Source organism: Homo sapiens, chromosome 15 (assembly GCF_000001405.40).
Source record: "Homo sapiens chromosome 15, GRCh38.p14 Primary Assembly".
Taxonomy (NCBI): Eukaryota; Metazoa; Chordata; class Mammalia; order Primates; family Hominidae; genus Homo; species Homo sapiens.
The window spans coordinates 26,109,894-26,134,428 of NC_000015.10; the positions used below are offsets into that span (position 1 = coordinate 26,109,894).

The 24,535-nt window shown below is 43.4% G+C and overlaps 2 long non-coding RNA genes across 4 annotated transcripts in view, besides 3 other annotated features; one reads left to right on the forward strand and one right to left on the reverse strand.

The window, feature by feature from the left end:
* LOC105370739 (uncharacterized) overlaps positions 1-24,535 on the reverse strand; it is a 53,368-nt gene that overhangs the window by 20,263 nt on the left and 8,570 nt on the right. Inside the window, exons 4-5 of one of the 2 annotated variants that reach the window (XR_932005.3) lie at positions 4,076-4,236; positions 1,505-1,880 (exon numbers count right to left, since the gene is read on the reverse strand). This is a non-coding gene — a long non-coding RNA (uncharacterized LOC105370739). The remainder of the gene's footprint in view (positions 1-1,504; positions 1,881-4,075; positions 4,237-24,535) is intronic. The other variant, XR_932004.3, reaches the window with a different exon arrangement.
* LINC00929 (long intergenic non-protein coding RNA 929) lies at positions 5,920-23,144 on the forward strand. Of its 2 annotated transcripts, NR_038852.1 has the most exons (6): positions 5,920-6,129; positions 6,287-6,391; positions 15,316-15,420; positions 21,777-21,856; positions 22,398-22,467; positions 22,991-23,144. It is a non-coding gene; the product is annotated as a long intergenic non-protein coding RNA 929 (long non-coding RNA). The 2 variants fall into 2 exon arrangements; NR_038851.1 differs by lacking the exons at positions 21,777-21,856; positions 22,398-22,467; positions 22,991-23,144 and adding an exon at positions 15,718-16,478.
* Positions 8,889-9,183: a silencer, noted in NCBI's record as "tiled region #9219; K562 Repressive non-DNase unmatched - State 11:FaireW". NCBI's record gives its function as "represses a minimal TATA promoter and a strong SV40 promoter by Sharpr-MPRA in K562 cells {active_cell/tissue: K562}" and the evidence as "EXISTENCE:reporter gene assay evidence [ECO:0000049][PMID:27701403]".
* Positions 16,249-16,941: an enhancer, noted in NCBI's record as "H3K27ac-H3K4me1 hESC enhancer chr15:26371289-26371981 (GRCh37/hg19 assembly coordinates)". NCBI's record gives its function as "activates a minimal SCP1, AML or CMV promoter by ChIP-STARR-seq in naive H9 embryonic stem cells {active_cell/tissue: H9 hESC(naive)}" and the evidence as "EXISTENCE:reporter gene assay evidence [ECO:0000049][PMID:30033119]".
* Positions 20,037-20,625: an enhancer, noted in NCBI's record as "NANOG-H3K27ac-H3K4me1 hESC enhancer chr15:26375077-26375665 (GRCh37/hg19 assembly coordinates)". NCBI's record gives its function as "activates a minimal SCP1, AML or CMV promoter by ChIP-STARR-seq in naive H9 embryonic stem cells {active_cell/tissue: H9 hESC(naive)}" and the evidence as "EXISTENCE:reporter gene assay evidence [ECO:0000049][PMID:30033119]".

A 24,535-nucleotide genomic window follows, 5' to 3' on the forward strand; every position in this document is an offset into this window, starting at 1 on the left:
GGCCCTCTTTCCAAAAAAGCTCACATTCGGAGGCTCTGGGTGGATGCGAATTTTTAAGGGACATTGTTCAACCCAATACACCTGTGTATATGCTTTTGGAGCATTTGAAATTTATACTATGTATATTTATCACCCTTTCAACATAAATTAGGTCATTAAAAACTATGAAAAACACATCTGTTTACAGATGGGAATATATGATGGCATTTATTTACACATATATGTATTCATATTTTTATAACGAACAGTTTTAGAACAGTATTTACCAGGTTAAAATGAGCCCTGCAGTAGAACTGTTAGAGATAAGAAGGAGGAGAGGGTGGAGGGCTCATGACCATGTTCTCTGTAGGTCTCTACAATGGCTTGTGATATTTGATGCAGTATTTATATACTGAGATACATTTTATGAAAGATTATATTTTGAAATAAACATGCTTGAGTCCCAAGGAAAACAGATATAGCCTTACAACTTAGGATCAATTCCCCTATAGAACTCAAGAATGACAATGAGAAGCTTGACATGGTCTTTATCAGCACAATGTTCATATCTGAGTTACTTGGCAAGCAACAACACACAGGCGACTTTCTAAACCTGCATCCTAAGATTAAATCCTGTTGTACCCCAACACCAAAAGGCCACATGTGACCATCACCTTGAGCTGGTAAATGCTGCGAGCTTACTTTGCCTGGTCAGCAACAGATGAGTGCAGCGGTCTGGGCGCTAGGGTTAGACAGGCACACAGCGGGTCCACCATCTGTAGGGGAGTGGGGACACCTGGAGTGAATGAGCAGATGTAGGACAGGCCAAGAAAGTTTGGGGTTCCTTGGTTCATCAAGGGGGCTGCTCTTGGGGAGAGCAGGTGAACTCCCCGAAGTAAGAATTATTTTCAATAAAAATCTTTTCCTGGCAAATAATTCTAAAATATCCCCTAGGTTGACCTGGAGCTGTTAATGTGCTTTTCTTCTCGCCACCCCAGGTATTAAGGGATTCACACACATAACCGTTCAATATTAAATGGGAGGCAGTGTTCTGGCCACGGATATTACAGCTGGGGGATCTCTACCTCATGGGTGGGCACAGCCAGTTTGAGGGGTGCCAACTGTCCCTCCTTCAAGGAGGTGTTCCTGGTCTGCTTTAAGGAGGTCACTGAGCCAGAGCCCCAAATACTCTCCAATTAATCGAGCCGAGATCACGGTGCTTATTGAACATCTAAGAATGAGCCATGGAGGCAGCTTTTGAATCTTTCTTCTGGAAATTTTGTATTGAAAATTCACGAGGCTTAAACGGAGCCTGTGTACCAGGAGGCGGTCATTGCTAGGAAAATCTGTCCTTAAAGTGATCCTTTCTGGGAGTTACTTCCTGCTCTGCAGTCTTCTCTGCAGAGAAACTGAGCACAGAGTCCCTTGAGGAATTGCAGAGAACTCAAGAGACTTGGCAGTGGTGCCAGAGCCACGTGCCATGGCGGTGGGTGACCGGGAAGCGCACCCTCCCCAGCCGGGTTACCTGTTGCTGTACATGTGACGTCCTCTGTACCAGACTAACTTCAAAGCCTCTGAGGACAGTGGGATGCTGATGCCCCAGAAAGAATGTGCAGAAGACAGCTACCTCACAGGGATGTGGAAACGTTCGGCTCCTGGAACCAGGTGCCATCGTCTTCCTTGTCACACACTGAGATGAGCACGATCACTTTACAGTATAGGTTGTTTTTCCTTTGGATTGGACGTTCTAGCGTGCTCCTGTGTTCTCCTGGCTGCTGCGGCTTTGTAGGTCATCAATCAGGGTGCTGACTGGCAGGAATGACTGACGATGCTGCATGCCCTCTCCTGCCCCACGGTTTTCCAAATCACAACTCATCTTCTTATTGGCATAAATGTACCTCCTGTTTATTTAAGTAGAATGTAAATAGGGAGAAAGGCTGTGACCCACGCTAATATTCCTCCTAGGTGTGAGCACACTAGTTTATATATCTGCCCTTTGTCTCTTGCTAAAGTCTCTCATTTTCAATCATATTCTTTACTTAAAATGTCTACTTTTCAGTGTGAGTTATCACAAAAAAGACACATTTAATCGTTGTGTAGTAGGAAACCCTCTTGCAGGAATAAAATAGGATGGAGAGGAGTTGCCAACATAGGCCACAGTTCCCAAGCTGACCCTTATTTTTATTGAACTAAAGTTGCATATAAATCTTTTATAACACATAAATCCTTGCTGCCTCGGCACCGCTATGTGCTTTTTTGTTGTTGTTGAGACAGGCTCTCGCTCTGTCACCCAGACTGGAGTGCAGTGGCATGATCTTGGCTCACTGCAATCTCTGTCCCCTCCCACCTCAGCCTCCCAAGTAGCTGGGACTACAGGTCCCTGCCACCAGGCCCTGCTAATTTTTGTATTTTTAGTAGACACAGGGTTTCGCCATATTGCCCAGGCTGGTCTCAAGCTACTGAGCTCAAGGGATCCTCCCACCTCGGCCTCTCTCAAACTACTGAGCTCAAGGGGTTCTCCCACCTCCGCCTACCAGAGTGCTGGGATTCTGGGCATGAGCCATCACGCCTGACCCTGCTGGGTACCTTTTGCTTCCTACATTACTTATGTCTTTCCTGTTGTTTATTCTACTTATTCGAAGTTTGTTTTATTGATGATTTCATAAAATATTATTTTGGTGCTGATTATCTCAAAGTTATGTCTGTGGGTTTTTATTGAATTAAATTGTTTTTCTCCTTATTAATTTTCTTCTAATTTATTTGGGTTTATTGTGCTGTTCTTTCTCCTGGATTCTTGAGCGGAAAGCTTAATTTATTTTTAATGCATCTTTGAATCTAATTAATGCATTTAAGAATACTCATGGTTCTCAAAGTGTCTTTTGCCTCCTTCATCTCACAGGATTGAAGAGGCGCTCTTATTTATTATTCAGTTACACAGGTTTGCAATTTCTACTTCTATTTCATTTTTAATTAAGAGTTATGTAAATGTTTGTTTGTTTTCTAATTTTATTGCTTTGTGAAAATAAATGTGGTTTTAATGGTGTTAACTTCTTGAAATTTATGATTGCCTTTGTGGTTGAGAATAATTTATTTTAAAAATTACATGTGTGTTCAAAAGCAAAGCATATGCCCTCCTGAATAAATGCAGTCCTGGGGATTGTGAATTTGAAGCCTTTACATTGGTAATGGTTTAGATCTGTCTCTTTCTGAGAGAAGTTTAGAGCTACCACTATGTAGAATTAGGAGTTCTACATTTTGAAGCTATACGTATTTTTAAAAAAAATTTTTGTCACACATACCTGTAAACAATTTATGATTAAAATTTTCATATTTTTGGAAATCATCGACATGGACACACACATTTATTCTTTCCGGTTACTCATTCCTGCTTGTTTTGCTCACCATGACGTTTCCAGGGTTAATCTGGCCGGAGCCCACTGTCATTCTGGGACTTCTTTGGGGTAAATGCTCCCCTGGAGATTTCTGAGATAGCAGGCCACGATGAATTCAGAGCACCCGCCCCAGGCCAGCCTGTGATTGCGGTGGTCCTTCCTGACTGGTCCCCGCCCCGGTCTGTGCCCTTTGGGTAGGTCCCTGGCCTGGAGCCTCAGCATGCCCTGGCTGCTTCCCCTGGAGGTCGCAGGCGTCCTGAGGAAGGGGGCGGGGCTACAGGCTCTTGCCAATCTGGTCCCTGTTTTCTTTTCCAGCCTCTGCACTTTCAGAAATGATTTTCCCCACTCACTTAAAATATACTTTTTAACTTTTCTATTGTTTTTCATTGATTTCAGCATGATGGTGTTTCAGGATATATGTTCAACGTACAGTTAAAAAAGGAAACCAATAAACCCATTTTTGTTTACTAAAAAGATGTACTCAAAACATTGTAGGAAACACAATATCATGAAGATACTAAAATCACAAACAACTCAACACCAAAAAAGAATCCCTCGTATCACATAGATACTTTATCTCCTACGCTTTGTAAAAATCCCCGCTGCATATACAGATTTTTAGGCAAAAACCGTAGAACTACACTGTTCCTTTACTTTTGGTCTTATTGTTAACACTCAGTACTCTTTGATGGCCACGTCCTTACCCACTTCTGACTGCCTTCTTGATCTGCTATGTCCGGAGTTGGTTCCTTCCGGCAGGTTCGTGGTCTCGCTAACTTGAAGAATGGAGCTACAGAACTTCACAGTGAGTGTTACACCTCTTAAAAATGGCCCAAATCCAAAGAGACAGCAGCAGCAAAATTTACTGTGAAGAGCAAAAGAACAACAACGCCACAGTGTCAAAGGGGACTCCACCGGGTTGCCGCTGCTGTCTGCGGGTGGCCAGCTTTTATTCCCTTATTTGTCCCCACCCATGTCCTGCTGATTGGTCCATTTTACAGAGTGCTGATTGGCCCATTTTACAGCGCACTGATTGATCCATTTTACAAACTCTAGCTAGCTACAGAGTGCTGATTGGTGCATTTTACAAACCTCTGGCTAGCCACAGAGTGCTGACTGGTGCGTTTTATAATCCTAGCTACAGAGTGCTGATTGGTGCATTTTACAATCCTCTTGTAAGACAGAAAAGTTCTCCAAGTCCCCACCCGAACTAAAAATCCAGCTGGCTTCACCTCAGACTGCCTCCCCAACCCCCAACCGCCTGCTCTATGGTGGCATGAGCCACCATGCCCAGCCAACTTTAGTGTTTCTTGTGACAGAGAAATCTAGCTTAACGTTTCTCCTTGGAATTAACCAATTGGCTGAGCATCATTTATTGCATGACTCTTCCTTTCCCCACCAGCAAAAATTATTACTTATAACTCCCTGGATACAGTGGGGTCAGTATCTGTCCTTTTATGCAGTTTTACCGGGTGCCAATCTATTTCTGTGCTGGAATAATACTTTTGTAATTGTACCTTCGTGATAAACTTTATGTGCACTGATGCAAGTTCTGTATCATTTTTCTCTTTCAAAGTTTTATTTTCTATTGTCTCATAAACTTTAGAATAATTTTGAAATGAAAGTTGAAAACAATCCATATAATACTGTAGTTTTTTAGGGGTTTTTTTGTTTGCTTGTTTGTTTAGATGGAGTCTCGCTCTATCACCCAGGCTGGAGTACAGTGGTGCCATCTCGGCTCAATACAACCTCTGCCTTCCCAGGTTCACGTGATTCTCGGTCCTCACCCTCCCATGTAGCTGGGATTACAGGTGCACACTACCATACCTCGCTAATTTTTATGTTTTTAGTAGAGACGGGGTTTCCCCATGTTGGCCAGGCTGGTCTCCAACTCTTGGCCTCAAATGATCCGCCTGTCTTGACCTCCCAAAGTGCTAGGATTACAGGCATGAGCCACCGCGCCTGGCCTATTATAGATATTTTAAACTCAGTTGGCTATTTGTCTTAATCTTATCCATGAGAAAAAAAAATTGATATTTAAAAAGTTATAGATAAACCCCATGGATATTCTTCTTTATAGCTTCTGGCTTTGATGATGTGTCAGTGTTTAAACTTTGGCTGCTTGTGAAAATAATATTAAAATATTCACCTAAATTAGCTTGTATTATTTTACTTTTATAATTTTTTTAAAATTAAAATGTATTTTATCTGGAGCTTATCTGTTGCAAGGAATGAGTTAAATATTTTGTTTTAAAAATTGTTTTAATAAAATAATGATTTGAGGCCTAACCTATCTTTTCCTCACTGATTGCAAAGCTCCCTTTACCATATGGTAGATTCCGGTGTATCCTGAGCTGGACTCTGCACTCTCTGGTGCCTTTCCCAGCACTTTTCTCCATGCTGTGTGGTTACTATTGTCTTTTGAAACTTCAAAACCTATCGGAATGTAGGCCACTAGGTCAGGGCGTCATGGAAACCCTTGTGTGCAGGGAGCAGCAGACAGATGATTCCCCAGTCCCGGAACACTCTCGGCCCTCTTCAGCCACTCCCTCCCCAACCCACACGCCATCAACCTCCAGACCCTCTCGCCGTGGCTTAGAGGTGTCTCTGACAACGTGGCACACTGGGAAGGCCTTCTTTCCTGCTACCAATACAAATGCATTCTGAATTTGATATGTCATTAAATGTAAAAATACAGCCAATTTGAAACAAGCAAATGGAAATTCCCAGGAACCAAAAACAGAAAGAAAAATCAGAGGTAGGTAGAAACCCACGCTGCTGTGGGGTGGCCTGCGGAGGTTTTGCAGGAGTGTGCAGTAAATGTTTAATAGCAGATCTCCAGGGAGGAACAGCTCTGATTTGTAGTGTTTGCCAATTTCCACGGTATAATTACTTCCATCTTGGTTGTTTTCCAGCTACCGCAGTGCTGTCCCTGCAGACAGAATTTGGGAGAGGTACTCAGAGTCACCTCCTGTGAGCCTATGCAAGCCAGCTCCTGCACAACCCTGGTTTTAGTCCAGGTAAAGGCCCGCCCAGGTGTTTGAATATGGACTCCTCACATACTTCTGCAGACTCCAGCTTTGGGTTGACCCATCGGGGAGAGGGAACTTAGCATGAACCCTTGTATAAAAATGAAAATCTCTTTCATTGGAAGGGAAGATCACTGACTGGGCTAGTCTCCCAAGACCTAGGAAAGAGCTTGGCTGTCAGAGGGTGAGCTAGGGAACGAACTGTGCTTGTTGATATCCACATCCAAGGCTGATGGCCGGAGGAGGCAGTTAAGAGCAAAAGGCAATGGACCAAACTACATCAAAGATGGGATTATAACAAAACTTTAAAAGTTGGTTTACAATGCAGAAAATTCATTCTTCTGGAAACAGACTTGAAAAAAATAAAATATTTACTCTACCTTTCTTGTTCAGAACCATGCCTTAGGGTAGGTAAATATTTGATTATGAAAGGTTCTTTGTGTGGAATAAATCTAAGTAATAATTGCTGAAGAAATGATATGATTAAGATATGGCCATCTTTGGTCAGGCGTGGTGGCTCACGCCTGTAATCCCAGCACTTTAGGAGGCCGAGGCAGGTGGATCACAAGGTCAGGAGTTCAAGACCAGCCTGGCCTACATGGTAAAACCCTGTCTCTACTAAAAATACAAAATTTAGCCAGACATGATGGTGGACACCTGTAATCCCAGCCACTTGGGAGGCTGAGGCAGGAGAATCACTTGAAACTGGAAGATGGATGCTGCAGTGAGCTGAGATCACGCCACTGCACTCCAGTCTGGGCGAAAGAGCAAAACTCCATCTCAAAATAAATAAATAAATAAAAGATATGCTCATCTTCTTATTAAATAAGGTAATGGATCTAGTCATCATTTAAGTCTTCCAAAACATTAGCGAAACTGAGACTTTTAATGACAGACTTGTAAAACCAGGTGTCTGGTGGGGAGGCATACCCAGCATAGTTTCAACGAGCAATTTATGCCCTAGCACGCAGGTCCCTCCCCAGGTTTCTCATAGGCTGACTACTATGAGGTCACAATCTTCCTGGATGTCATCTATTGATTGTTGGGTAGAGGCTTTAGGTGTTTCTTTAGGGTTGTCTTACTGCATTTTGTTGCAACCCACAATGCATTGCAATCTTAGTTAGCTCAGGGGCTCTTCAAGTATTTGACTTATGACCTAAGTAGCTGGGCAGGCTGGTAAGAACAGACAAAATGAGCTATCTTGCAGATTAGTAAAGTTTTATCTTAGACTAAACCTCTTTGGTTTGGATGAGGGCAACTAAGGTGCAGGAGAAGGGGAAGAAGGGGAAGGCTGACAAGCAGGCATCTGCTATCCAAGCAGCGGCCTAGTATATCCTCTTTCTTCTGTAGTTTGCTGACCTAAGCCCATTCAAGGCACTTTGTCTTGGAAATGGACCACTGTATACATTATTTCCTTCAGGTGGGAGACATGGGAAGAGGCAGAAGATTTGAAATAGCCCTTGTCTTAGTGTCATTGGCAGAAGTGAGTGGGGTTTGCAGGAGTGTTAAGCCTGTTAGTCATTGTAAATTCATTGTGAACACAGTTAGCCTTATTAGGTGGTTTTCTTCAGAATCGCCAGGCTGCTCCCAAGCCAGTTCCTGGCAAGGAAATACTTGGTTTTCTTGGGGTGGCAGTCTGCTTTTTAAAATGCAGGCCTTATTATTATTTATTTATTTATTTATTTATTTATTTATTTATTTATTTGAGGCGGAGTCACCCTGTTGCCCAGGCTGGAGTGCAGTGGTTCGATCTCAGCTCACTGCAACCTCCACCTCCTGGATTCAAGCAATTCTCCTGCCTCGGCCTTCCGAGTAGCTGGGACTACAAGCACGTGCACCATGCCTGGCTAATTTTTGTATATTTTAGTAGAGATGATGTTTCACCATGTTGGCCAGGCTTGTCTGGAGCTCCTGACCTCAGGTGATCCACTGGCCTTGGCCTTACAGGCTTTATTATTATTCAGGTATGGTGAGGCTGCAGATCTGGTGATGGTTGTCACTGACAAGATAGTTTGTGATTTGTGGTTCCCAAGGGGAGGAGCATGACATGCTGCATGCTGGTGGGGGCCAGACAGAAGCACTGGGGCAGCCAGGAGTCAGACGGCAAGTGGGGACTGTGGATGGAAACCTTTACTGCACTTTTAGTGAGAAAGAACAGGCAAGGCAGGGTCAGCAGGTTTAGATTGAGTTGTGAGAACAATCTCTGTGGGCTCTGGGGCCTAGAGAATCTCCCTTGTTGTCTGGTACCCAGCCCTGGGGTGATGTGGGAAGGGGGATGGTGGCCCAGTGTGAGAGTCCAGTCATGGCTGGACGTGGTCGGGGGTGTTGGCTGGGATTGGCTTGTTCGTATTTGAAAAGCATACCCACTGGCAGGTTGTTTACCCTGTCTTGGAATTAGCTCGCCCTGGGAGGGGCAGTCCCTGCAGGGTCAGCAGGGCCCCAGATGTCGAAGCGTCAGAGTACAGAAATCAAAGATGTTTGGTGCAGTGTGTGTGTCTGCTGGTGTGACAGGAAGACAGACCAGCAGCAAGGGAGGTAAGGCTAGCAGAGATATGTGATGGAGGTGGTGAATCATGGAATCTAAGCTTGCTCACTGGGAAGGTGAAGAAAGTACAGGGATTAGAAAAACTGAGTTCCTGTTGGGTTTGTGGGCAACAGGCTGACCCAGGAATGCCCAGAGAAGGGAGGCTACAGCCATTTGGGATGCTCACACTTATTCAAGGTGGGATGGTTTTGCGTAATGCTCCAGGTGACTGTGAAGGGAAGTGGTTCCTGGACGGGAAGGAAACGATAGGCCGTACGTGGGAAACAAGACTTGCCAGGATCCTGGAAGGCCATGACGCGGCCATGCCCCTTCCAGTCAGGCGGCCTGTCTCAGCCACATTGCTTGCTGTGCCTTCTGTGTGGGAGCAGGGAGAGCCTTCACACAGGAGAAAGAGAGCCATGCTTATTTTCACCAAATGCCACGGCACCAAAAGAAAGGGTGGAATATAAACTCCACGAGATTTTTTTTTATCTTTGAACTTCCAATGCTCATTATAAAGACAGAAGCTGATAGGTGCCCTATAACTATTAGTAGTTTGAAATAATACATCAAATAAGGAGAGAAATAATCATACATGTACTTTTACTAATAAAAAAAGAGACTGACAGCCCACCCCAGTTAAGGATTGATGACATAAGGCGTGTGAGTGAACGTGGAGACACACAAATCAACCCACAATCAGAAGGTGGCAGAGGCAGTGGGGGTGGTAACTTAGGTTGAAAGAAATGGCATTTTAGAAACGGCAATGCAAATCTGCCTTTGATAAATACGAATAAATCGCGGAGTGGGCATGAGAATGGATAGAATGGTAGCATAGAAAGAGATGGAAAAGAGATCCCATGTACATGCTGGGGAATATCAATCACCCTTGGAACCTTCCATGAGCCTAAAATAGAACAGGAATCCAAGTGTCTCTATGTGGGAGAAACGTGAATGTGGTCATTTCCACGTCAGCCTGGCTGCGGAAGCAGGACCCCGGGTGACCACGGGCTCGTCAGCACAGGATCTCATCACCTGGTCTGCCAAGGCCTGGGGTCCTTTCCAAGCAATAAAATTATAGGTGTGAAATGCACTTAAGCTATTTTCTCCAAAACATATCACAGAAGATCACAAGAGGACACAAAAGATGACTTCCTCCCATTGAAATGGCTAAAACAAAAGTGATAAAAATAAATTTGTGGTTAAATATATCTGAGGATTGGTAGGGCAACAGGGTATCATTACTCAGAATCTGGCCTGCAATTAAAGACTTCCAAAAATGGCAGATCGCCTCCTTCTTCACCAATTTCACATTTACCCCCACCAGTTCTACTTGCAGAAGGCAAGACTTCCAAAGAGGCTTCCTTACAGCCACGGGATTCCCGCATTAGAGTGTGGCTCTCACCCCAATACTTTCAGTATTCTGGGTTCTTACAGTGTCTATTTCTAAGTTCGTTTGTTTTGATGGATCACGGAGGAAATTGTTTTCCTGTGTTGACGTTAACCACGCTTCACGCTTCCCTGCTAGCCATCCTCAGGTGTATTACTACTGTTGTTGTTATTGACTTCGAAAGGGAAATCTCCTTAAGAGCCTCTACAATGGCTGGAAACAATTGCAAACAATTTTTCTTTTCCCTTTTCTTTTTTCTTTTTTTTTTGAGATGGAGTCTCGCTCTGTCGCCCAGGCTGGAGCTTGCAGTGACGTGATCTCGGCTCACTGCAAGCTCCGCCTCCCAGGTTCATGCTATTCTCCTGCTTCAGCCTCCTGAGCAGCTGGGACTACAGGCGTCCGCCAGCACGCCCGGCTAATTTTTTGTATTTTTAGTAGAGATGGGGTTTCACCGTGTTAGCCAGGATGGTCTCGATCTCCTGACCTCATGATCCGCCCTTCTCGGCCTCCCAAAGTGCTGGGATTACAGGCGTGAGCCACCGCCCCCAGCCTTTTTTTTTTTTTTTTTTTTTTTTGAGATCGAGTCTCACTGCATCACCCAGGCTGGTGTACAGTGGTGCAATCGCAGCTTACTGCAGCCTGGGCCTCCTGGGCACAAGATATCCTCCCATCTTAGCCTCCCAAGTAGCTGGGACTACGGGTGTGCACCACCATGCCTGGCTAATTTTGTTGTTGTTGTATTATTTTATAGACACAGGGGTTCCTCATGTTGCCCAAGCTGGTCTCCAACTCCTGACCTCAAGTGATCCTCCTGCCTCGGCCTCCCAAAGTGCTGGGATTACAGGCGTGAACTACCATGCCTGGCCTCAGAGAATAATTTCACATTTTAAACTCTAAGTACTGGGTGTTGGCTGTGCAGAACCTGTTCTTTTTGGTTTGCCTTTTAGATGCCATCTTTACACATGTCTCTTCTATCTGGTCTACCTAAAAGAATGCAGAGAGAAGATGGAAATTCAAATCTAGGAGGATGTAGATTTCTTAAGAATAAGATATAAAATTTTTACCATTTAGGATTTTCTTGCACGTAGTAGTTAATCGGTTAGCATTTCTTGGGTGAATAAAATCACACCATGTAATTAATGTTAGGACTTTAAGGCAAATACCAAAGAGGAGAAATATACACTCATTAAATATCAAGTTACCTGAGCAGAAGCTCAGCTGTCTGTCTGCTGGCATGACACACAAAGAGCAAGGTTCAGACTGCCAGCATTTACCATGCCATGCAGACAGCTTTTTTTTCTTCTTCTTCTTTTTTTTTTTTTTTTTTTGAGGCGGAGACTTGCTCTGTCACCCAGGCTGGGGCAGCATGATCTCGGCTTGGCTCACTGCAACCTCCACCTCCACTTTCCTTCTTGCATGGCTATTTCACAGCAGAAATGAGATGCTTGGAAACTTCAGCAACTGCGCCTCATAGTTTCTAAATGGTAAATGGCTTCCCTGCCCGCTTCCAACCCTGTTGGGAGGGCCTTTCAGGTCTCAGGGCTGGAGGCACAGGAGTCTGAGGCCCATTTCCTAAGGAGCAAGTTGCTATTGCCAGTCGGAGCACCTGCACCACCCTCTGTGCTCTTGGTAGTGTCATCTCTGCTGTCGTCTGGATGTGCTGGGTCCAGTGTCCGGCTGTGGGCGCTGGGATCATCAGCCTGTGTGATGCATCTCCTCATCTGTCATGACAGGCTGATAACAGCTGTCTTGAGGGGATGTTCTAAGAGTACAAACAAGGTGGTAAGTTGCATGATCCACCATGCCTCTGCCTTGCAGGCTCAAACAGTCTTCTCAACTCAGCTTCCCAAGTAGCTGGTACCACAGGCGTCCGCCACCACACCAGGCTCATTTTTTTTAGCTATTTTTAAAATTGTGCTAAAGTACACGTGATACAAAATGTACTATCTTTACCACTTTTAAGGGTGCAGCATAGTGGCATTAGGTACATTAACTTAGTTGTGTGACCACCACCACCATCCATCTCCAGAGCTCTTTTCGTCTTGCAAAACTGAAACTCTGTACCCATTAAACACAAGTCCTCATTTCCCCCTCCCCAAGCTCTTGGAAACCATCATTCAACTGTCTCTATGAATTTGACTACTCTTGCTGCCTCCTCTAAATCCAATCATAAAGTATTTGTCCGTTTGTGACTAGTTGATTTCATGTAGCATAATGTTCTCAAGGTTCATCTGTGTCTGAATCTCCTTCTTCTTTAAGGTAGAATGACATTGCTTGGTATGGGTAGGCTACATTTTGTTTATGCATTCATTCCTCAGTGGGTATTGGGGTTGTTTCCACTGTTTAGTCATCTTTTAGCTATCGTGAATGATGCGCCTGGGGATGTGGTGTACAGATATTTGTGTGAGTTCCTGCTTTCACTTCTTTTGGATATTTCCCCAAAGTGGGATTGCTGGATCGCATGGTAATTCTATGTCCAGCTTTTTGAGGAATCTCCATGCTGTTTCCACAGTGGCTGCATCATTTTTCATCCCCACCAGCAATGCACAAGGGTGCTAATTTTTCTATATATTTGCCAATATTTGTTATTTTATGTGTTTTTTTTTTGCTGTTGTTTGTTTATAGTAGTCATTTTAATGGGTGTGAAATGGGACCTCATGGTGGTTTTCATTTGCATTGCATTAGTGATAAGTGACGTTGAGTGCATTTTTATGTGCTTATTGGCCAACTGTATATCTTTGGATACATGTCTATTCATGTCTGAAACTTGCATGTGTTCAACGAGTCTATTATTATTATCATTAGAGAGTTTTCACAGTGAGGCAAAAATAAGATAGATTTTTAGTTAGAATTGAAGTCAAGGTCACAGTGACACTTATGCTGAAAACTTTAGGCAAGTTATATGTCTCCGCCGGCCTACTGCACCACACATCCAACAGGACTTGTGAAGCAGCTGGTCCTTCACTCAGCAGAGCTTCGTGTGCACTGCCACTGGTAGAAGCCTTATAACCATAACAAGTGAGGCCTCCAATACTAATGGCAGAGTCAGTGGACACGCTGAAAGGAAGCTCAGCAAAGATGCAAATGTGTTCCGATTTAAAAATTTTACGGGAAGCTGATGGAAGCACGGAGTAGCCTGGCATTTGCCATTGGTTCTCTGATTTTGGAGACGGGAAAACTTCCTGCTGGCAAAGAAAATTTGCAATGATGATCCTGGTTTTGAATGGAGGCTGAATTCAGGAGATTTACCAGAACGAGAAGACGTAATCTTGAGTCTGGTTTCACCAGGTTTGTTATAAGAGGCTACAGCCAGATTCGTGTGGGCAGAAACTCCTAACTCCTTAAAAAACTGTGACACTGGCCACGCGCAGTGGCTCATGCCTGTAATCCCAACACTTTGAGAGGCCGAGGTGGGTGGATCGCCTGAGGTCGGGAGTTTGAGACCAGCCTGACCAACGTGGAGAAACCCCGTGGGAGGCGGAGCTTGCAGTGAGCCGAGATCGCGCCACTGCACTCCTGCCTGGGCTACAGAGCGAGACTCCGACTCAAAAAAAAAAAAAAAAAAAAAAAGAAAAAAGAAAAAAGAAAAAAAAGAAAAGAAATACAAAATTAGCCAGGCATGGTGGTGCATGCCTGTAATCCCAGCTACTTGGCAGGCTTAGACAGGAGAATCGCTTGAACCCAGGAGTCGGAGGTTGCAGTGAGCTGAGATTGCGCTACTGCACTCCAGCCTGGGCAGCAAGAACGAAACTCTGTCTCAAAAATAAAAAGACTGTGATGTTAATATCTTGAATATTTGTCCAGAAGGCTTTTTAAAATTTTATTTATTTATTTATTTTTTTGAGACGGAGTCTTGCTCTGTCGCCCAGGCTGGAGTGCAGTGGCGCAATCTCGGCTCACTGCAAGCTCCGCTTCCCGAGTTCACGCCATTCTCCTGCCTCAGCCTCCCGAGTAGCTGGGACTACAGTCACCCACCACCACGCCCGGCTAATTTTTGTATTTTTAGTAGAGACGGGGTTTCACCGTGTTCGCCAGGATGGTCTCGATCTCCTGACCTCATGATCCGCCCACCTCGGCCTCCCAAAGTGCTGGGATTACAGGCATGAGCCACCACGCCCGGCCCAGAAGACTTTTATAGATCTTTGCAAAGCATATGTTTGTACCTTATTTTTATCTTTTTGGTTTTTTTGAGACAGAGCCTTGCTCTGTCACCCAGACTGGAGTGCAGTGGTGCGATCTTGGCTCACTGCAACCTCCACCTCCCAGGTTCAAGCGATTCTCCTGCCTCAGCTTCCTGAGTAGCTGAGACTACAGGCACCGGCCACCACGAATGGATAATTTTTATATTTTTAGTAGAGTCGAGGTTTCACCATGTTGGCCAGGCTGGTCTGGGACTCCTGACCTCAAGTGATATACCCATCTCAGCCTCTGAAAGTGCTGGAATATCTTTATCATTTTTTTTGTAATCAATTCAGTATTTGAATAGGGATAAAATTGATTTCTGGGACTAGACTTCTCATGTATGCTATTAGCCCCTCAGCAGATAAGATCCACCTTAAAATGTCCAGACTTCCAGCTCTCTCCAGCAACAAATCAAGGTGTCAGCCAGCAGCTCGGGCCTGCCTTGAGAGTCACTGTGGGGATTAAGTGAGATGAACACCGCAGTATGGAACCAGAGGACTCCCCGTGACAACTCCGACTCAGGGAGCCTTGGTGTGGCTCGCAGAGGAGACAGGCAGTGCCCCAAGTCATGTGTCGTCGAGAAGCCTTTTCCACTTCTGGTCCCTCGTGTCCACTTAACATCCCCCTACATTAAAACACTCGGATGCATAATCGCCTGAGTAGCCTACTTAATAATAATTTGTTAATATCCTTCACAGTGTCAGGAGAAGGTTGTCTGGAGAAGTTTTATTGTATTTTAAGTTTTATATCGTTTTAGTTTAGTTCACTTCTTTTGTATCAAATACCTTAAACAAGAGTGCTTATATCTTTTTCCCCCAGCCTTCTGCAGAATTCCACATTAAACAGGATGAAGAATAGGTTGTTAGCAGACTGAGGTACTTGGGGCAACATTTCGTACACAACAGGAGGGAGAAACGACTCCAGGTGAGGAGTCTAACCAAGTTCTCTGGCTGGGCGAGTGCACGGGGGAACACTGTGGGCTTTGAGGGGGTGTGTGCCAGTCACACAGGAGCGGCATTGCTGCCCTCTTCACTGTATGCAGGCCACTGTGCTGGCACAGCCATGCTTCCCCCTGTTAGACACAATGGTGATTCTTAGGGTTGACATTGTGGCTGTATAGTTGCTGAGTTCATCTTTGTGTCTGATGGACCGAGTAATGCTGCCCCATGGAGGAGAACCATGGGTTTAATCTCTAAATCACCACCTCCACGTTGTTTTTAGAAAAACAATCAGATTTTGGTGAAACTGATGTTTGCAAGTGTGAGTGAGCCCCATGTGCTGAAGCTTCAGGAACCCCTGAGATGGCACAAGTTCTGCCGTACTGGGCAACGGATGGTCTTGAAGCACACAAGACACTGGAAGACATGAGGGCAATTGCTACACGCCAAGCCCGGTGCCAAGCACGTTGTGCAGGTTGTTTCGTTGATTCCGGGCCTGGCCTTTGAGATCTGTGGAGGATACCATGAACTGGCTGGCTCTGCATCCTGCTTGCAGGCGCTGGCAAGCTGGAACCTGCTTTTCTACGCCACACTGCAGAGGGCCCTGAATGTGATCTATGATTGCAACAAGCAGCCCTGATGCGGATCCGGAGGGCAGGGATGACGTGGGGGCTGCCTTTCTGGTTGACCTGCTGGTAAGCATGGCCTCATGGATCTATCACCAACAGCACCCAGTCACTTGGGGAGGCCGAGTGGCAGGGCTGGGGCATCCATCAGGGTTTGATTTTGCTTATGTGGACCGGCAGGTGCAGCACAGCTGCATTTTAGTGCAGGGCTTCCTGATCCTGCTGCACAGCTAACACCGTTCTTCCCGAAGGCAGCAGCTCCCCCACGGGGCTGTTTCCCCAGTTCTGGGCATCAGTCCCAGAGGCAAAGACGGGAGCCATCCACTCTGACTCTGCCAACAATTCTGTGAGCACCCAGTTCTCTGTATGAAATTCCTTTCTGCTTTAGATAATTAAAATAACTTTTCTTCCCCTGCAACTGAACTGAGTGATAAGCATGGGAATTATTATTTTGATTCATAAATGAGGCAACTGGGGCTCAGTAAGGTTAAGAGCAAATGATGACTAAGAGTCAGAGGATGGGCGGGGTGTGGTGGCTCACGCCTGTAATCCCAGCGCTTTGGGAGGCCAAGGCGGGCAGATCACGAGGTCAGGAGATAGAGACAATCCTGGCTAACGCGGTGAAACCCTGTCTCTACCAAAAACACAAAAAAATTAGGAAGCAGAACAGGAGCACCATACTGGTTGGGAGAGAAGTTTTGATATACATTTAATATGAGTTCCAGAGGTGAAAGTAAAAAGAGAGGATGATAATGTTTGAAGAAGTGAGAGTTATCCTTCTTCCAGAATTCATTAAAGATATTGTTCCTTATTCAGGAAGTACTAGTACTGAGAAGGACTCATTTGTAAACTAAAACGCACCAAGGTATCGATCACCAAAGACAAAGAACCGAACCTAAAGCAGGTTACTTTAAAATAGAAGAAACAATTAGACTCACAGCAGGCTTCTCAACTTGAACTGTAGAGCTGGGATCAGCAAACTACAACCCATGGTCTGGATGGCTGCCTGTGCAAATACAGTTTTATTGGCACAGATACGCCCACTTATGCACATGTCTTTATGGCCACCTCCACTCTTCAATAGCATTGTTGAGTACCTGTGATGGAAACCACATGGTCTGCATGTGGTTGATTCTTAAACAAGCCCTCTGTTTCAGAAAATGTTTGCTGACCCCTGGTATGGAGAACAGAATTCAGTGAAATAATATATTTAAAACACTGAGAGAAAATTGCTGACACCTAGAATTCTATACATACTTGAACTTTTTTTTTTTTTTCAGAGGAGGAGGTAAAATAAAAATATTTCAAAAAACAAAAAATTTAGAAAGTTTACCTTCCTTTTTTTTTTTTTTTTTGAAATAAGGGTTAAACTATTTACTTCAGTGGAGGAAATAAAACCCAAATCAAAGGCAGGTACTACAACAAGAAGGGAGCAAAATTTGCTAAATTTATAGGTAAATCTGAAAAAAAGACATTTGTCTTAAAGAATATTAGTAATGATAAAAATGACCAATATTGAGGTCATAAATAAAGATGAAACAAAAATGCTAAGTGACAATAACACGTAAGCTTGTGAGGGTAAGTGGCGATCAGAGCTTGGAATTCAAAACCACTTTTTTATTTTATTGGGAGGAGGGTGGAGACAATGGCTAACTTTATACTTTGTTGTATGAACTGTGTGCATGTTTCCATTTTAAGAGTAGCCTCTAACACAATAAAAATAGAATTGTGTATTGGAGAGGTAAGGCTGAGTGACAGTCAAATCCACAATCTCTAGCCTCCATGTGCACTTTATTCATTATTCACATAAATTCCACTGTAGATTGGGCAATTCCCCAAGGCAGCTGCCCTGCCTGCTGTGCCCCAGCCAATCCTGGGGGCTTTGATGGATTGCGCACACAGGCCATGTTGACATGGCTTCCCCACTCTACACCAAGAGGGAGGGCCAGGCATGGGAGCTCACAGCCACTCTTCTACCTTAGCCTGAGAAATGACATCCAATGGATAACCTCCCTGCAGGGACTCACAGTGCAGTCTAGGGGTACATGGAAAACGTTTGGTGAAAATTCCATCACTGTTGCAACCCATTTTTATGGCTGCCAAATACCCCTTTGTTCCCATATATATCCCAAGGAAGATAGCTCACAAGTCCTCTCGAGTTTTCATGTTCAGTTCAGAGTTCAAGATCTCTTGACCCTATAAATTCCACTATAGGAGGATCGTTAGTCCTTTAGGTGCTGAATCAGCTCAGCTTCCTTGACTGTTTGGAAACTGTGGATCTTCCAACTCAACACACATTGTCCAATTCACACACAAAGTGGAGAATTCACACTGGCCAGAAGTAGTCACCTGGCCTTACCCAGCAACAAAAGGGCTGAGAAGTGCAGGGAAGCACCAGAAAATGAATAACTTCAAATCAATGAAGAGAACAGGAATGAAAAAATAATCTACTTGATCTCTGGGAAGGTGTGTGGTTGATTAGAAATGATGACAATTTTTTGACCATTGGGACATGGCAGTCAAATTCTGGGATGAACTTAGAAACTTGTTTGACCCATAAATTGCCGTGGAAGTGAAGCTATGTGACTTACGAGGCTAGGTTTCTAACAGCCTGCAACTTCTGCCTCAGTCTTTGGAAACACTTTCTCCTGGAGCCCTGAGTCATCATCTAAGATATCTAACTACCCTAAGTCCAAGCTGGCCGCATGGAGAAGCCACATGGAGAGCAAACACCGGATGTCCCACCCCTCCAAGCTCTGACTTCAGGCATGTACCCGGAGCCATCTCAGACTCCCCAAACTAGCCCAGCCACTAGCAAACATCACCAGGTGAACCCAGTCTACCTCTCACGAAACAGAAGATTCACCCAGCTGGTCCTTGACCCATTTCCTGAACCACAGAGTTATTCACTATAATGAAATGGTTGATGTAAGGCACTAAATGTTGCAATAGTTGGTTATGCAGCAGTAGACAGCCATGGTAACTGTCTACAGACAGCCACAGAAAAGAATAACACGGACACAAAGGCAGAGGCTGGGAAACCTTGACCCGGTGCCCGCACATCTGCAAATGACAGGAAATTTTCCCAAATGAAAGTTTAAGTCCATTTTTAGTCTGTGCTGATATAAATAAGATGATCTTAACATACTTTGAAAAAATATGTACAAACATAAACATATGTTTTTTAAAAAGGAGCCCTCAAACGAGGAAGATATGATCCAAAGAGACAGCTATTGGCTTTAAAATATTAGTTAGTCAGCCTTGGCTAGACAGCTGCTGCTGCTCCTGAGAGCTAAGTCCCACTGTGTGAGGTTACCAGTTAGAAATGGGATTTTAAATCAAATATTGGGCAGTTTGTCTGTGAACACCAAAATGGCATGATATTCCTGACCACCATCATGATTTAGCAAATGGCAAGACCTTCATAAGCACATGCTAAAAGCCACCAGAGCTTACGACGGCAATGTCTTATCTTGCCACAAAAGGCACTGCATTTTTTCTCAAGGAGTCAATCCCACGCTGAGCCCTGGCAATCCCTGATAGACTGTTATGCAGGTCCTCACTGGGGATCAATAAGCCATAAGGCACTCAACGTCATGAGTGTTCAATAACAATGATAATTCAGAAAACTGAAATAAGGGGCCCCAGGAGATCCATCTGAAACTGATTAAAAAATATATATATCCCTCATAGCCAGGCACGGTGGCTCAAGCCTGTAATCCCAGCACTTTGGGAGACCAAGGTGAGGGGATCACTTGAGGCCAGGAATTCAAGACCAGCCTGGCCATCATGGTGAAAACCCGTCTCTATTAAAAATATAAAAATTAGCCAGGCATGGTGGTAGGCACCTGTAGTCTCAGCTACTTGGGAAGCTGTGGCAGGCAGATCACTTGAGCACATGCGTTTGAGACCAGCCTGGGCAACATGGTAAAACCCGTTTCTACCAAAACAAACAAACCCAAAAAATTAGCTAGGTGTGGTGGCACGAGCCTATAGTCCCAGCAACTTTAGAGGCTGAGGTGGGAGGATGGCTTGAGCCGGGGAGGGCAAGGCTGCAGTGAATGAGATTGTGCCACTACTACATTCCAGCCTGGGTGACAGAGTCAGCCCCTATCAGAAAAAAAACAAACAAAAAAATCCCCTCTTAACGACATCCTGCAAAGGACTGAGAGAGAAGGACAGTGTGAGAGAGAAGAGATCATTAAGGCTTGTCACCAGATGCCATTTCAATGACAATGCACAGCCCTCATGGGCAAATACCTGTATTAAAAAAAAAAAAACAGGTTGATTTATTTCTGTGGAAAATAGCAATCATTGCTTTTAGCAAACGTTGTTTAAAACCAAGACTGTCTTCTTTGAAAATATGGAAAGAACATTTTTCTTTAACATGTACAATGTCGCAAACCCCTCCTGAGTTCACCAATTTATGTAAATAATGTTAATGTAACTCACTTTGTTCATTTGTTCTAGAGAAGGTATGGCATTTTTTTTTTTCTTTTTTTACTTTAAAATTAACATCCAAATACAGCAGCGGGGGATATATACCAAATGCATCGTTAGAGTTTATTTTACACACTACAGCATGGACTGTTGCCTGAGTTTATCGTAAACAAGAAAACTGTGATAGGAATTTAGTGCTAATCACATCTTTGAGAAGATTTGAGAGACAGAACAACCTACAAAGCTCTCAAATAATTTTTGTTATAAGTTCAGGATCTGATTTTTCACTTTGATTTTGTTTACTGTGTTTTGGAGATCCAAATATTTCCCCTAAGACAAACAAAAGCACAATCAATATCATATTAGCCCTCAAATCCAAAAATTTAAATTTCAAGGGTCTTTGGTAGAGAGTGGGAGAAGCAGGCATGCAAAAGACACAAAAATCAGAATGAATGTTTTCAGATATCCAGATTTCTTTTTTTTTTTTTTTTTTTTTTGAGATGAAACCTCACTCTGTTGCCCAGGCTAGAGTGCAGTGGCGTGATCTTGGCTCACTGCAACCTCCACCTCCCGGGTTCAGGTGATTCTCGTGTCTCAGCCTCCCGATTAGCTGGGATTACAGGTGCCCGCCACCACACCTGGCTAATTTTTGTATTTTTTAGTAGAGATGGGTTTCACCACATTGGCCAGAATGTGGCCTGTGGTGTGTAGTGCTTCCTGACCACACGGACTCCATATCCATCAGCACATCAGAAAGCTGTGTGCTATTTCTTTGTTGCAAGTCACTAAGGCATTCTGAAACTCAGTCTATTGATCTTCAAAATAAGATTAATATGCTTGGCAAAAGTGTGTGAATCATAGTCAGACCAAATAATTATTTGGTTCTACATGTATTAAAATGAATTTTTGAAGTTACTGAATTAATTGTTTTCATTGAATAGTCAATTAAGTGAAAAGATTTTATTAATCCCTCTGGAAGATGATTATAGAAAACATCTCTAGGATCAAGCTAATGTTCTTTGTATAATTCCAGATAGGAACTTCTTTACATGGCTCTGAAATTAGGACTAGACCTTTTTGCAAACTGCAAAACCCAAAAAAAGTCGAGTGGACTGTTTACACTGGAGTCTTTCCAAGGAGAGTGAACTCAGTGTTATTTTCAATTGCTTTGCACATCATTTAGCTCAAACTGTCCAAGTGAATCTAATTGCAGGGCTTATAGCTTTTTAGTCAAATCCAAAATCTCTATATGAATAACCCCAAATCATCATTTCAGGTTGTCTTGTGGTAGAGGAGATTTTGCCTTGCAATTTTACATACTTATGCTACGTGGAAGGCTGGGTGGCGTGACTTCAGGTAAGGCGACGAAGGATCTCTCTTGCAATTTATTGTCATTTACAAAATTCAACTCTGAACTTTTCCCTCCCTCCCTCCCTCCCTCCCCTTCCTTTCTTCCTTCCTTCCTTCCTTCCTTCCTTCCTTCCTTCCTTCCCTGTATTTCACTCAAATGCATAATGTGGTTTCTGCTTAGATTTCTGGAACATTAGGGCTGGGAGAGACTTTGGGACCATGTGGTTTAACCCACTTCTCATTTTATAGACAAGACATTTCACCAAGATTATGTTGTGAAATCACAGTCTTGCTCTTTTCTCTTTTATACCTCTTCCTAACCTATATCCTATCCTGTTAAAAATGAGACCAAGAATGTGATGTGGTGGTTTGAAACAAGACTATAATATTTCTGTTTCTCTAAGTCTGAAGTTTTAGTAGCTTTGGCCTTCAGTGATTATGTTATTTTCATATGTACACTATATCCTAGGTTCATTATCAAATATCTATTGCTCTTTCTTCAAGTAATATATATTTGATATGTTTTCCACTTCAAATTACATTTTAGAAAAATGTTTCCTCAGGAAAGAGACACACAGAGAGAGAGAGAAAGAGAGAAAGAGAGAACCCACCTACCTGTAAGTCTTGAATAGTCATGGGGTTCATGTAACCTATATAAAAATAAAGACTTCTAACCCCTTATCTCCCACAAAAAACCCTCCACAGTGTTTAATGTCAGTGAGATACAGTAAAAATGAAATCATTGCATGTAATATGTTTGGTATTCAGCGTGTCAAGATTTATGTGAGCTTATTTCGTGTCTAGCACGGTATCAGTATAGGGATTACTATCCTAAAATCTAAGAGTCTAGAGGGTGGGAGGGTGATAGACAGAAACACCATGCTGTCCCGTGGTGGGTGGTAGGGGATTAGAATGCATTGGAATCCACAGGGGATCAGAATAAAGTTAATAAAGAAGGACAGAGCAACTTACTCTGAAGGTGTAGAGCTAGTTTTGCTGTGAAAGAGACATTTAAGTTAGTTTTGTAAGAAAAAATAGGAAAGGGGGAAGAACATTTCAGAGGGTAGGGAGATTGTGGTCCTGAAAGGGCATGGAATATCAAGAAATCTACATTCCTCACATATCCCTTTTCTTGCCTAGGTTTTGCAAAAGTCTCATGAATCATCCCTTCCTGTGGTCCTGCTCCCTGAGATCCTTTCACCGCTCACAGTGGGCTACTTCTAAGAGCGTGCCTGGCACAGGGTCACTGAGAGCATAGTCTTAATAAAACAATGATGGATGCTTGTCTCTCTCACTGGGTGCCATGCACTTTGATCAGAAGCTTTAAGAATGTTTTCCTCCACTGTCTAGTCACAGCCGTATTAAATTACACAAGGCATGGGAAGAGGCATAATCTGTTGATGATAAATCAGAATTAATGAGAGTTTAACAAGCCTGCTAAATACTAAGTCAATGTAAAAAATCAATTGTAAGCCCATCTATCAGAAAAACACTATTAGCAAGCAAAATTTACATTTTTACTGCTTAACATAGCATCCCAAATATCAAGTACCTAGCAACAAATCTAACGAAAGATATGCAAGACTTATAGAGAAAACAGCAACAGCAACAACTTTGTTTAGATACATTAGCGAAGATCTCATTACATGGAGACATACACTATGCTCATGGACTGGAAGACTCCATATGGAAGATGCCAATTCACATCTCAGAATCTCAGCAGGTGTTGCAAAGAACCTGAAAATTTGTTTTAAAAATTCATGTCAAAATGCAAAGGTCCTACAATTGCCAAAGAAAAATAGGGAGGGAGGACCACCTGATATCAGCGGTGATTATAAAACAATAATAAATGTGATACCTTGCCTTAAGTCTGGGGATAGACAAATAGACGAGGGGCGCAGGTTGGAGAATCCAGAAACTGACCCATGAATACATTGACACTTGATATATGACAGAAATGGCCCCCAAAGCCATGGGTGTCTGGGCATATAGTATCCATACAGAAAAAATATGAACTATCTTCAATAAGAGACATAACACTATAAAAGAAAATCATTTTAAGAAAAAATTGTACAACTGAATGTGAAAAACTAAGCTATAAATCTTTTAGAAGACAATACAGGAGAACCTATTTTTCCACCTTCATTATGTGGAGACCCATCTTAATAAAACACCAAAGGCATTAAACAAAATAAATTTGACTACATTAAAATTAAGAATTTTTGTTAATTAAAAAAACACCTTTAAGAGAGTGAAAAGGCAAGGCATAAAGAGAGAGAGAGACTGAGACTTTGCAACAAAGGACTGACATTTGAAACATCTAGAGAACATCTACACATCAATAAGAAAAAGACTCCTTGGAAACAAATGGGCCAAAGACTTCGGAGATATACTCCACAAATGAAGAAACTCAAAGGGCCAATAAACAGAAGAAAGGGGGCTCTGATATTTGCAGCAAGAAAAGAAATGCAAATTAAAACCACAGTAGGGCACCATTACATATACAAGCTCATTGGCAAAAACTTAAGTCTGGAAATACCAAGCGTGGGTGAGAAAGTGGAGCAGTTGGAACTCTCTACAAAGCTTCTGAGAGTGCAAACCAGCACTGCTGCTCTGGAAGGCAGCTCAGCATCATCTGCCAAGGTTGAGGGTGTGTATCCCCTATGGCACAGCAGTTCCTCCGTG